This window comes from Homo sapiens, chromosome 7 (genome assembly GCF_000001405.40).
Source record: "Homo sapiens chromosome 7, GRCh38.p14 Primary Assembly".
Classification (NCBI taxonomy): domain Eukaryota; kingdom Metazoa; phylum Chordata; class Mammalia; order Primates; family Hominidae; genus Homo; species Homo sapiens.
In genome coordinates, this window is record NC_000007.14 from 83,986,223 (window position 1) to 84,000,777 (window position 14,555).

Genomic DNA, 14,555 nt, shown 5'->3' on the forward strand with positions numbered 1-14,555 from the left:
CTGACAAGGACTACAAGAGCTCAGGTGGGATGAGATTACTTCATTATTATGAAAAACATGGTTTCATGTGCGAGGACCTACACTCAGGTCTTTGCCAGAGAATATAATCTCTTTAATGTCTATTAACAGGTTAACATAGAGGAGTAATAACTAGGGAAGTAACACTCATCAATGCACTTCATTAAGTGTTCTTTCTGGAGCTTATCATGAATGCATATAGGCTTGCATAAATAAATTGGGTTCTTTGATGTAGACAGACTACCAAAAGCCTATATAACTGAACACATGAGTTTACATCCTTTAGGTTCATGGTCAATGAACTGTGCTGCAGTTCATTCAAGACAAACATTATGTGTCTTTCATTCAAGACAAACATTACGAGAAGACAGAGACTGCTTGTGGGTTTCTGAGGGGTCTGATAAGAAAGAGGCTTAGGTGGAACGATGGATCTTAAAAGACCTCACTGTGTAGGTGACCGAAGCTACTAAATTAAGTGTGAAGAGCTGGACTCTGGAGCCCAGGTGCCTGGATTCAAATTGTGATTCAAATCTGGCCAGAAATGCAGTACTAGGCAAAGTGTGTAAACTTTTTGTAATTCAGTTTTCTCATTTGAAAGTTAGATGGTACCTCTTATGGGGTGGTGATAAGACTGAATGAATTAATACATGTAAAACACATTACAAATGTGCTTGGTATATAGTGTTTATTCAAATCTCTCTTTCCTCTCTTCTCTCATCTCTCTCTCTTTCACACACACACACACACACCCACACGCACACACACATGCATTTCCATCTCATTTCCTTGCTTTAATTTTTCTCTTTAGTTCTTATTACTGGTTATATACCTGTATATTTATACACATCTTATCTAATATATTATTAATAATATATCTTAATAATAAATTTTATATAGATACATATAATTAATTTTTTGTCCTGTGAGTTTCTTCACACATCCTAAAGCAGAATCTGAGATAAAATCTTGTTTGCAGGTTTGGGGCAAGAGTAAAAAATTGAGGATTGAGAAGAAGGTGGAAAAAAATCAATTAAAAAGTGTATTATGGAAGTCAATACTGAGAAAAAAATCTGAGGATAGTTGACAATGACTCTCCAAATTGTCCACTGAGGTTTGTACCAAGAAAAGTACTTATTCATTCCATTCCTCATTGGATGCTCTCAGGGGGTTCAATCTCCCACAGCCCCAGCTGTGACTCTTGCTTGTCTTTTGGCTTGCTGGGGCATAAAGAAAAAGATTCCTCATAGGAATCAGAAGTGAGGTGAAAGGATGTGAGGAGGCAGCTGAGGCATCTCACGTGTCTTTCCAATTGCCTCTCCCCCTCAATTTGGGACAGAGATTTTGGCTGTTTATTTCACAGCCATATCCCTAGCACCTGGAATTACGCCTGGTATTTACAAGTTCTTAATACATATTTGCATGAATGAATAAATGAACGAATTCTTTACCAATGTTCCTCTTTCTCTCCTCTCTTCAACTTACCCCACTATACTGTCTTTCTTCCATTTAATTTATATTTAAGATAAAGATAGCCCTCTTATTAAGTCTTTCTTTGTTTCTTATAGCTTAGCTGGCATTTCTTCAAAAATAATTTAGAATAGTCTACACTCACTGCTTTTGCTTGCTCATCTCTCATCCAATGCCTTCCCTGCTCAATCCACTGAGTCTAGCTTTTATTCTAGAGAGGTGGCCTACTATTTTCAGAAGCAGAAATCACCAGTGAACTGTGTATTGCTGATAGGACACTTTTCTGTATCCATAACTATTATTAGACTTTGTTTTATATTTTTTCTTGGCTGCTTCCTCTAATAAACCCCATTATGCCTTGGAATTCTTTATTAATTATTCCTTAATGACGTTTATCACAGTCTTCTCATCCTCCAGCCACTCCTAACATATTTACTGTTCCTTGCCCACTCCTTTCTACTCTCCTTTGGATGCTATTTTTCTTCCCTAATAAGCTCTTGTGTTTTTGTTGTTGTTGTTGTTGTTTGTTTGTTTTTTGAGAGGGAGTCTCGCTCTGTCGCCGAGGCTGGAGTGCAGTGGCGTGATCTCGGCTCGCTGCTAGCTCTGCCCCTCGGGTTCATGCCATTCTCCTGCCTCAGCCTCCCGAGTAGCTGGGACTACAGGCGCCCACCACCACGACTGGCTAATTTTTTTGTATTTTTAGTAGAGATGGGGTTTCACCATGTGTTAGCCAGGATGGTCTCGATCTCCCGACCTCGTGATCCGCCACCTCAGCCTCCCAACTTTTGTGGTTTTAATTACTATGTGCTGTAGAACTGCAGATCTCTACTTCAAACCCTGATGGCTGAGCTGAGAACAGGATTTTCTTAACAAATTTAAGACAATCTGTCTGAGACAAATGAAACAAATGATTTAGGAGGTACATTAATGTAATGGTATAATTTAGAGATTTTCCATAGTTTCCAATTTTTATACCTTAAATGAATTATATTAGTTATTAAATATAATAATTTTACACAAAAATTATCAATCATAAAGACAATTATGATGAAAGGAATGTCTATCAACTTTTTCTATGCAGAGATATAATCTTTAGAATTTAGTGGCCACAAATCTCAAAAACTTAGAGCACAACACATCATGGATATTCAGCTTTTTTTTTTTTTTTTTCTGACAGAGTCTCGCTGTTGCCCAGGCTGGAGTGCAGTGGTGCGATCTCGGCTCACTGCAGGATCCGCACCCCCCCGATATTCAGCTTTTTTAAAAAAAGTTGAAGACTGTATTTAGGTTTGTACAATATTGGAATCAATAACCAAAACAGAAATTTTAGAAGAGTAAGGAAAATTTTCCACAGATACTTCTTTCATTCCAACAATTTCACATGAAAAATAGTTATGTGGTTATTAAGGAGCTTATTTCATGAAGGTTTTCATGACATAAAGTTTACAATCGAAATTCAAAGAAAGTGTTTCTTAGGCAGAGAAAGATTAACAGCTAATGTAATTGAAGTGAAATTAGCTAGCTCTAAATACTTTCAAAAATGAAGCTGATTAATATTTATACATTTCATGTTCCTTAATAATACAAAAAAAATCTATAAGGTAGATAAAAATTATTATTTTTTGTTCTTTTAAGTTTTAGGGTACATGTGCACCTTGTGCAGGTTAGTTACATATGTATACATGTGCCATGCTGGTGCACTGCACCCACTAACTCGTCATCTAGCATTAGGTATATCTCCCAATGCTATCCCTCCCCCCTCCCCCCACCCCACCACAGTCTCCAGAGTGTGATATTCCCCTTCCTGTGTCCATGTGATCTCATTGTTCAATTCCCACCTATGAGTGAGAATATGCGGTGTTTGGTTTTTTGTTCTTGCGATAGTTTACTGAGAATGATGATTTCCAATTTCATCCATGTCCCTACAAAGGACATGAACTCATCATTTTTTATGGCTGCATAGTATTCCATGGTGTATATGTGCCACATTTTCTTAATCCAGTCTATCATTGTTGGACATTTGGGTTGGTTCCAAGTCTTTGCTATTGTGAATACTGCCGCAATAAACATACGTGTGCATGTGTCTTTATAGCAGCATGATTTATAGTCCTTTGGGTATATACCCAGTAATGGGATGGCTGGGTCAAATGGTATTTCCAGTTCTAGATCCCTGAGGAATTACCACACTGACTTCCACAATGGTAGAACTAGTTTACAGTCCCACCAACAGTGTAAAAGTATTCCTATTTCTCCACATCCTCTCCAGCACCTGTTGTTTCCTGACTTTTTAATGATTGTCATTCTAACTGGTGTGAGATGGTATCTCATTGTGGTTTTGATTTGCATTTCTCTGATGGCCAGTGATGATGAGCATTTTTTCATGTGTTTTTTGGCTGCATAAATATCTTCTTTTGAGAAGTGTCTGTTCATGTCCTTCGCCCACTTTTTGATGGGGTTGTTTGTTTTTTTCTTGTAAATTTGTTTGAGTTCATTGTAGATTCTGGATATTAGCCCTTTGTCAGATAAGTAGGTTGCAAAAATTTTCTCCCATTTTGTAGGTTGCCTGTTCACTCTGATAGTAGTTTCTTATGCTGTGCAGAAGCTCTTTAGTTTAATTAGATCCCATTTGTCAATTTTGGCTTTTGTTGCCATGGCTTTTGGTGTTTTAGACATGAAGTCCTTGCCCATGCCTATGTCCTGAATGGTAATGCCTAGGTTTTCTTCTAGGGTTTTTATGGTTTTAGGTCGAACGTTTAAGTCTTTAATCCATCTTGAATTGATTTTTGTATAAGGTGTAAGGAAGGGATCCAGTTTCAGCTTTCTACATATGGCTAGCCAGTTTTCCCAGCACCATTTATTAAATAGGGAATCCTTTCCCCATTGCTTGTTTTTCTCAGGTTTGTCAAAGATCAGATAGTTGTAGATATGTGGCTCTATTTCTGAGGGCTCTGTTCTGTTCCATTGATCTATATCTGTGTTTTGGTACCAGTACCATGCTGTTTTGGTTACTGTAGCCTTGTAGTATAGTTTGAAGTCAGGTAGTGTGATGCCTCCAGCTTTGTTCTTTTGGCTTAGGATTGACTTGGCGACGCAGGCTCTTTTTTGGTTCCATATGAACTTTAAAGTAGTTTTTTCCAATTCTGTGAAGAAAGGCATTGGTAGCTTGATGGGGATGGCATTGAATCTGTAAATTACCTTGGGCAGTATGACCATTTTCACGATATTGATTCTTCCTACCCATGAGCATGGAATGTTCTTCCTTTTGTTTGTATCCTCTTTTATTTCCTTGAGCAGTGATTTGTACTTCTCCTTAAAGAGGTCCTTCACATCCCTTGTAAGTTGTATTCCTAGGTATTTTATTCTCTTTGAAGCAATTGTGAATGGGAGTTCACTCATGATTTGGCTCTCTGTTTGTCTGTTGTTGGTGTATAAGAACGCTTGTGATTTTTGTACATTGATTTTGTATCCTGAGACTTTGCTGAAGTTGCTTATCAGCTTAAGGAGATTTTGGGCTGAGACAATGGGGTTTTCTAGATATACGATCATGTCGTCTGCAAACAGGGACAATTTGACTTCCTCTTTTCTTAATTGAATACCCTTTATTTCCTTCTCCTGCCTAATTGCCCTGGCCAGAACTTCCAACACTATGTTGAATAGGAGTGGTGAGAGAGGGCATCCCTGTCTTGTGCCAGTTTTCAAAGGGAATGCTTCCAGGTTTTGCCCATTCAGTATGATATTGGCTGTGGGTATGTCATAGATAGCTCTTATTATTTTGAAATACGTCCCATCAATACCTAATTTATTGAGAGTTTTTAGCATGAAGGGTTGTTGAATTTTGTCAAAGGCTTTTTCTGCATCTATTGCGATAATCATGTGGTTTTTGCCTTTGGCTCTCTTTATATGCTGGATTACATTTATTGATTTGCATATATTGAACCAGCGTTGCATCCCAGGGATGAAGCCCACTTGTTCATGGTGGATAAGCTTTTTGATGTGCTGCTGGATTCGGTTTGCCAGTATTTTATTGAGGATTTTTGCATCAATGTTCATCAAGGATATTGGTCTAAAATTCTCTTTTTTGGTTGTGTCTCTGCCTGGCTTTGGTATCAGAATGATGCTGGCCTCATAAAATGAGTTAGGGAGGATTCCCTCTTTTTCTATTGATTGGAATAGTTTCAGAAGGAATGGTACCAGTTCCTCCTTGTACCTCTGTTAGAATTCGGCTGTGAATCCATCTGGTCCTGGACTCTTTTTGGTTGGTAAGCTATTGATTATTGCCACAATTTCAGATCCTGTTATTGGTCTATTCAGAGATTCAACTTCTTCCTGGTTTAGTCTTGGGAGAGTGTATGTGTCGAGGAATTTATCCATTTCTTCTAGATTTTCTAGTTTATTTGCGTAGAGGTGTTTGTAGTATTCTCTGATGGTAGTTTGTATTTCTGTGGGATTGGTGGTGATATCCCCTTTATCATTTTTTATTGTGTCTATTTGATTCTTCTCTTTTTTTCTTTATTAGTCTTGCTAGCGGTCTATCAATTTTGTTGATCCTTTCAAAAAACCAGCTCCTGGATTCATTCATTTTTTGAAGGGTTTTTTGTGTCTCTATTTCCTTCAGTTCTGCTCTGATTTTAGTTATTTCTTGCCTTCTGCTAGCTTTTGAATGTGTTTGCTCTTGCTTTTCTAGTTCTTTTAATTGTGATGTTAGGGTGTCAATTTTGGATCTTTCCTGCTTTCTCTTGTGGGCATTTAGTGCTATAAATTTCCCTCTACACACTGCTTTGAATGCGTCCCAGAGATTCTGGTATGTTGTGTCTTTGTTGTTGTTGGTTTCAAAGAACATCTTTATGTCTGCCTTCATTTCCTTATGTACCCAGTAGTCACTCAGGAGCAGGTTGTTCAGTTTCCATGTAGTTGAGTGGTTTTGAGTGAGATTCTTAATCCTGAGTTCTAGTTTGATTGCACTGTGGTCTGAGAGATAGTTTGTTATAATTTCTGTTCTTTTACATTTGCTGAGGAGAGCTTCCCTTCCAAGTATGTGGTCAATTTTGGAATAGATGTGGTGTGGTGCCGAAAAAGTGTATATTCTGTTGATTTGGGGTGGAGAGTTCTGTAGATGTCTATTAGGTCCGCTTGGTGCAGAGCTGAGTTCAATTCCTGGGTATCCTTGTTGACTTTCAGTCTCGTTGATCTGTCTAATGTTGACACTGGGGTGTTAAAGTCTCCCATTACTAATGTGTGGGAGTCTAAGTCTCTTTGTAGTCACTCAGGACTTGCTTTATGAATCTGGGTGCTCCTGTATTGGGTGCATATATATTTAGGATAGTTAGCTCTTCTTGTTGAATTGATCCCTTTACCATTATGTAATGGCCTTCTTTGTCTCTTTTGATCTTTGTTGGTTTCAAGTCTGTTTTATCAGAGACTAGGATTGCAACCCCTGCCTTTTTTTGTTTTCCATTTGCTTGGTAGATCTTCCTCCATCCTTTTATTTTGAGCGTATGTGTGTCTCTGCACGTGAGATGGGTGTCCTGAATACAGCACACTGATGGCTCTTGACTCTATCCAATTTGCCAGTCTGTGTCTTTTAATTGGAGCATTTAGTCCATTTACATTTAAAGTTAATATTGTTATGTGTGAATTTGATCCTGTCATTATGATGTTACCTGGTTATTTTGCTCGTTAGTTGATGCAGTTTCTTCCTAGTCTTGATGGTGTTTACATTTTGGCATGATTTTGCAGTGGCTGGTACCGGTTTTTCCTTTCCATGTTTAGTGCTTCCTTCAGGAGCTCTTTTAGGGCAGGCCTGGTGGTGACAAAATCTCTCAGCATTTGCTTGTCTGTAAAGTATTTTATTTCTCCTTCGCTTATGAAGCTTACTTTGGCTGGATATGAAATTCTGGGTTGAAAATTCTTTTCTTTAAGAATGTTGAATATTGGCCCCCACTCTCTTCTGGCTTGTAGGGTTTCTGCTGAGAGATCTGCTGTTAGTCTGATCGGCTTCCCTTTGAGGGTAACCCGACCTTTCTCTCTGGCTGCCCTTAATATTTTTTCCTTCATTTCAACTTTGGTGAATCTGACAATTATGTGTCTTGGAGTTGCTCTTCTCGAGGAGTATCTTTGTGGCATTCTTTATATTTCCTGAATCTGAACGTTGGCTTGCCTTGCTAGATTGGGGAAGTTCTCCTGGATAATATCCTGCAGAGTGTTTTCCAACTTGGTTCCATTCTCCCCATCACTTTCAGGTACACCAATCAGACGTAGATTTGGTCTTTTCACATAGTCCCATATTTCTTGGAGGCTTTGCTCATTTCTTTTTATTCTTTTTTCTCTAAACTTCCCTTCTCGCCTCATTTCATTCATTTCATCTTCCATCGCTGATACCCTTTCTTCCAGTTGATTGCATCGGCTCCTGAGGCTTCTGCATTCTTCATGTAGTTCTCGAGCCTTGGTTTTCAGCTCCATCAGCTCCTTTAAGCACTTCTCTGTATTGGTTATTCTAGTTATACATTCTTCTAAATTTTTTGCAAAGTTTTCAACTTCTTTGCCTTTGGTTTGAATGTCCTCCCGTAGCTCAGAGTAATTTGATCGTCTGAAGCCTTCTTCTCTCAGCTCATCAAAGTCATTCTCCATCCAGCTTTGTTCCGTTGCTGGTGAGGAACTGCGTTCCTTGGGAGGAGGAGAGGTGCTCTGCTTTTTAGAGTTTCCAGTTTTTCTGCTCTGTTTTTTCCCCATCTTTGTGGTTTTATCTACTTTTGGTCTTTGATGATGGTGATGTACAGATGGGTTTTTGGTCTGGATGTCCTTTCTGTTTGTTAGTTTTCCTTCTAACAGACAGGACCCTCAGCTGCAGGTCTGTTGGAATACCCTGCCGTGTGAGGTGTTAGTGTGCCCCTGCTGGGGGGTGCCTCCCAGTTAGGCTGCTCCGGGATCAGGGGTCAGGGACCCACTTGAGGAGGCAGTCTGCCCGTTCTCAGATCTCCAGCTGCGTGCTGGGAGAACCACTGCTCTCTTCAAAGCTGTCAGACAGGGCCATTTAAGTCTGCAGAGGTTACTGCTGTCTTTTTGTTTGTCTGTGCCCTGCCCCCAGAGGTGGAGCCTACAGAGGCAGGCAGGCCTCCTTGAGCTGTGGTGGGCTCCACCCAGTTGGAACTTCCCGGCTGCTTTGTTTACCTAATCAAGCCTGGGCAATGGCGGGCACCCCTCCCCCAGCCTAGCTGCCGCCTTGCAGTTTGATCTCAGACTGCTGTGCTAGCAATCAGCGAGACTCCATGGGCACAGGACCCTCCGAGCCATGTGCGGGATATAATCTCTTGGTGCGCCGTTTTTTAAGCCCGTCGGAAAAGTGCAGTATTCAGGTGGGAGTGACCCGATTTTCCAGGTGCCATCCGTCACCCCTTTCTTTGACTCGGAAAAGGAACTCCCTGACCCCTTGCGCTTCCCAAGTGAGGCAATGCCTCACCCTGCTTCGGCTCGCGCACGGTGCGCTCACCCACTGACCTGCACCCACTGTCTGGCACTCCCTAGTGAGATGAACCCGGTACCTCAGATGGAAATGCAGAAATCACTGTCTTCTGCGTCGCTCACTCTGGGAGCTGTAGACCGAAGCTGTTCCTATTTGGCCATCTTGGCTCCTCCCCCCAATAAAAATTATTTCATATATGAATGGTGAAACATAAAAGAAACCCTAGTACATAACAGGCTCCACTGTGTCATATTAAGATTTTAATATTCTTAAGATCCTAGAATCCATTAATTAAAGGAAACTTATTTATTATTTAGACCAGGAAATTAATAACAGTTTGGAATAAGATGCACTATATGCTGCCTGTGGTTGAATATTAATAGACAATATATTATGATGACATTCATTTAAATAAGCTACGGGGATTTTTTTCTGAGAAATAGCAGGTAGTGAATATGACTTCCATTTAAAACAGATATGGCTTTATAAGCATGTTTTCATGAAACTGGTTTCAGTTGCATTTAATTGGTGTTCGAGTAAAAATAAAATTAAAACAGCATCTTTTCAAGGCTTTCTATGTTCCAATTTACAATTTTTTTCAGATACTTTAGTCCTTATTAAACTTTCTCACTTGCAAAGCTTTTCAACCTGCTGATCTCAGGAGATTCTGACATAGCCTATTGGAGGCTAAACACAAGGACACTTTTTTAGAATGAGTTTATAGACTAGGTTAGGAAAGTATCAATTATGTTTTCATTTGAACAAAAATTAAACTCTTTCATTTGTCTGCTCAGCTGTTCATGGAATACTGCATAAATTGGGTTTAAAATACATGTGTTATCAACGTAACTGCCTTGCAATTCCTTACATTCAATAGAACTATAAATAAAGCCCACTGTCCTAAGAGCACTGCAACTTGTTGTAGCATTTCAGTCTCAAAACTAAACCATCTTTGATTGTACTGGAAAGAAAATCCCAAACTGACTAGTTAAAATAAAAATCAGCATAAGTTAGGCTTTTATATCTTCTGAGTATTTTTATAAAACAAGGTACATGTATGGAATTTTCAAGCATTTTTAAAAGAGATTTTCATTTGTATAACTAGTTAACAACAGCTACCATTTACTAGTAATCTTTTTTTTTTTTTTTTTTTTGAGATGTAGTCTCCCTCTGTCGCTCAGGCTGGAGTGCAGTGGTGTGATCTCAGCCCACTGAAACCTCCACTTCCCAGGTTCAAGCGATTCTCCTGCCTCAGCCTCCTGAGTAGCTGGGATTACAGGCATGTGCCACCACGCCAGGCTAATTTTTGTATTGTTAGTAGAGACGGGGTTTCATTATGTTGGTCAGGCTGGTCTCAAACTCCTGACTTCGTGATCCACCTACCTGGGCCTCCCAAAGTGCTGGGATTAGAGGTGTGAGCCACCACGCCCAGCCTTTACTAGTAATCTTAATTTTAAAACAAAACACTTTTTAAAAGTATTTATAATCACAGTCTTTACTGTGAGAAGAGGAAATTGAGGCTCAATTGACTTTAACTAACGTGTTGAGAATCACATAATAAATACAATTGAAGTTCAGGTTTATGATTGCAAATCATTTTTGGAATTAGGCTTGTTTCTTAGTACTTTAATGTCAAATTTGGGGTATTTTATAGCAAATCAAAGACATTTCTAGAGTCCTGTACCAATGCCAGTTTTATTTCACCTCTTATTACCTATTAAAAATTTTACTCTAAAATGAAAATTTTTATTACTAAGCAATATTTTTCTTTCTATACTCTGATCGAGATTTGATTTCATCCCAAATAAAAGTATATTGGATGTAACTGAAACCACTGGAATGTGTATGATTAGTCAGGGTGTTCTTATGAAACCAACCTCAAGATAGAAATGGGTGTAGCACTGGTTTTAATTCATGTATTTATATGAGGTTTGGTTATTCATTCTGTCAAGGACACATAATGAACATGGCCTCATGAAGATGATAATATGGTAAAACTAACTGGTTGGGTAACATTAAATGTCTTTAATAAAATCCAAGAATATCAGATACTACCATGACCCTAAATCTTTACCTTTTCTATTTACCTTGTCAAACTATCCCTGACCTTTTTTATAGTATTTTATTTTAAATGGATTGACTTACATGGCTCGAATAGAAACAAAGAAACTGTAAAATTTCTCTGCTTATTTCACTGTATATAGCTATGGCTTTAATGTGTTGTGGGTTTTTTTCCTTCCCACTGTAAAATTAAACAAAGTTTGACAGTGAAATATTCCAATTGCTAGACCACAATATATGTATGAACTTTGCCTGATAGAATAGAATGTTGAAAGTAAATATTTCTCTAAACTCTGCCCAAATATGTTTTGTCTACTTGAGTGCCAAAGAAATAATAATGACAATAATGCATAGCAGAGAATATGGAGGAGAACTGAAATAGTTTTCTATCAAAGGAATATTGTTCACTCACAAACAATCTTTTTCCAAAATTGTAAAGTCCTAAACAAGCATTTCCATGCCAGCATAGTATTATTAATTTACATTTAATTGTTACAGATTGATAATGAAATTTTTCTTTTTTTTTTTTTTGAGAGGGAGTCTCCATCATCAGGGCTGGAGTGCAGTGGCGCAATCTTGGCTCACTGCAACCTCCATCTCCTGGGTTCAAGTGATTATTGTGCCTTAGTTTCCTGAGGAGCTGGGATTACAGGCACCTGCCACTACACCCAGGTAATTTTTTGCATTTTTAGTAGAGACGGGGTTTCACCATCTTGGCCAGGCTGGTCTCGAACTCTTGACCTCGTGATTCGCATGCCTCGGCCTCCCAAAGTGCTGGAATTACAGGTGTGAGCCACTGCACAATATCTTAAATGCTACACAAATGTCATCTAATAGCTATCACAGGTATAAGTCGGTTATGTATTTCTCTGGAAACTGCAAAATGCTAAAAAAAAAAATCTAATAGATATTAAGTACTTGTACTGTCATGTATGGGTTGATGACAGAGATACATTCTGAGAAATGCATCATTATGTGATTTTGTCATTGTGCGAAAAATCATAAAGTACACTTACCTACTACCTAGGCTAGATGATAGTCTGTTGCTCCTAGGATACGAACCTGTATAGCATGCTACTGTACTGAATATTTTAGGCAATGATAACACAATAGTAAGTATTTGTGTATCTAAACGTATCTAAACATAGAAAAGGTACAATAAAAGTATGGTAGAAAAGATTTTTAAATGGTACACCTGTGTAGGGCATTTATCATGAATGGAGCTTGCAGGACTGGCAGTTGCTTTGGTCAAGTCAGTCAGTGAGTGGTGAGTGAATGTGAAGGCCTAGGACATTGCTATACACTACTGCAGACTTTATAGTCGCCATACACTTAGGCTACACTAATTTTTTTTAAAGTATTTTTCTTTCTTCAGTAATACATTAATGTTAGCTTTCTGCAAGTACTTTACAATATAAACTATTGAATTTTTAAAACTTTTTGATGCTTTTGTAAAAACATTTAGCTTAAAACACATATTGTACACCTGTCCCAACATGTTTTCTTTCCTTACATTCTTGTTTGATAAATTATTATTATTTTTAAAATTTGTTATTATTATTTCACTTTTTAAACTCCTTTTGTTAAAAATGAAGACACAAAAACATACACTAGCCTAGGCCTACACAGGGTAAGGATCATCAATATCTGTGTCTTTCACCTCCACATCTTGTCCTACTGGAAGGACTTCAGGGTCAACAGCACATATATTTGATATCTCTATATTATAGGAGATAACACATTATCTCCTATGATAACAATGCTACCTTCTGGAATACCTCCTGAAGGATCTGCCAGAGGATGTTTTATAAGTAATTTTTTATAAGTAGAAGGAGTACAATGTAAAATAACAACAGAAAGTGAAGTATTGAAAATGTTAGGCAATAGGAAATTTTAGGCCCATTATAATCTTATGGGACCACTGTCATATGTGGGATTTATTCTTGTCCATAATGTTGTTATGCAGCGCATGACTATACTCGCAAGATTGTTGGTTTCCAAAGTCTCATAATTTTGTTAAAAGTTATTTAGTAGGTCAGTTTAAATTGACATCTTTTTAAGTTAAAATCCTTATTAATGTACTAAACAACATAGCTAAGATGTGAAATATAAACTTAAAATCCCTGGAGATATAAATAATAAAAATTCACGAAAACACAATATAAATGCAAAATTATGCACATTCTAATTCATATCAGAAAATAATTAAATAATAAAAACCTTATTTTTACAATGTCGTGATATGATACAATTCTACAAAATAAAATGTAATTGTATTAATAGGTAGAAAATTAAGTCCTAGAAACTGAGATGGATAACACATCAGAGTCTTTGAGCTGCATGAAGTCACAGACCATTTTTATAGTGTTCATCTCTGTATCACCAGAATTTAGCATTGTGCCAGGACTATCATATCTACTAATATACATTTATTTACAGTGGAAATTAGTTAATGAACCCTGTTTTAAAAATGTATTATAACTGAAAGGAAATATGCAAAGGAACCATGACAAATACAGAAGTAAGAGACTCTGGAAATTAGAAATTCTTAAGATAACAATATTTTAGTGTCTCCTGTAACTTCATTTGCAACAGTAGTGGCAAAATTAGTCTCCAAATATACGTTGGTAAAGGTTTTCTACTGGAGAATAATATGGTGCAGAATCAGGATGATAACTTGTGACTGTTCCTAGTTTATCTTTCTCATACTGGGGCACCTCACTTTATGCATGGTCTCCTTGAGGAAGGCCTTAAATTCTTTAATTTCTTGTATTTATTTCATTTTTTCATCAATACTAATTCATTCACTCATTTAATACATGTTGGTTTAAAAGACATTTTAGGTTTTGGCGATATAACAATAAAGACAATATGGCAATTTATCCACCCCTGAGTGCCTGTATAGTTTTCTAAATCTAAACATACATACTCTATAGTGGCCAACAGAGTCCATTTGGACAGTTGTTAGCTGTTGTTGTTTTTAACTTCTAAGATAAAGTACCAATGTGTTTGTTCATTGGGGTAATCTATGGGACATGGTGATTGATAAGGATTAGTCATCACTCTATACCAGACTGATAAATTAGATCACATTGATACTTTAGCATACAAATTATTATAAACAAATAAGGCTAATGTGCCTGATTTTAAAAATCATAATAGAATTATGATTATTTTATTATCTTGAAGACTTAAACCAAGGATTAATAGGAAAGGCTACTGGGAATGTAGCTCATTTTCAGTTTAGCTAAACTAAAATAATAAAATTATATTAACAATGACATTTTGAGCTAAGTACTCGTTACTGTCTTTGATGCATTACTGATAGTGTTTCTAATTCTTCCATTATCCTGGTGAAATAGGTATTATGCTCATTGTTTTACTGATGGTGGAGCTCAGAGGGATGGTTTAAGTGTTCCAAATGGATTTGTCATGTAGCTATGACTGTAGAGTCTAAACCCTTTCCAGTAGAACACTGTGTAGTTTGTTATTACAAAACATCTATGCTACAATTCACCAGTTGTATGTTTCAATGTTAATTATAATGCCA

The 14,555-nt window shown here is 37.5% G+C and overlaps 1 protein-coding gene across 3 annotated transcripts in view, besides 2 other annotated features; it reads right to left on the bottom strand.

Moving 5' to 3' along the window:
• Window positions 1–14,555, bottom strand: part of SEMA3A (semaphorin 3A) — a 536,949-nt gene that overhangs the window by 30,446 nt on the left and 491,948 nt on the right. The window lies entirely within an intron of this gene.
• Window positions 8,303–8,864: an enhancer, noted in NCBI's record as "OCT4-NANOG-H3K27ac-H3K4me1 hESC enhancer chr7:83623841-83624402 (GRCh37/hg19 assembly coordinates)". NCBI's record gives its function as "activates a minimal SCP1, AML or CMV promoter by ChIP-STARR-seq in naive and primed H9 embryonic stem cells {active_cell/tissue: H9 hESC(naive and primed)}" and the evidence as "EXISTENCE:reporter gene assay evidence [ECO:0000049][PMID:30033119]".
• Window positions 8,865–9,425: an enhancer, noted in NCBI's record as "H3K27ac-H3K4me1 hESC enhancer chr7:83624403-83624963 (GRCh37/hg19 assembly coordinates)". NCBI's record gives its function as "activates a minimal SCP1, AML or CMV promoter by ChIP-STARR-seq in primed H9 embryonic stem cells {active_cell/tissue: H9 hESC(primed)}" and the evidence as "EXISTENCE:reporter gene assay evidence [ECO:0000049][PMID:30033119]".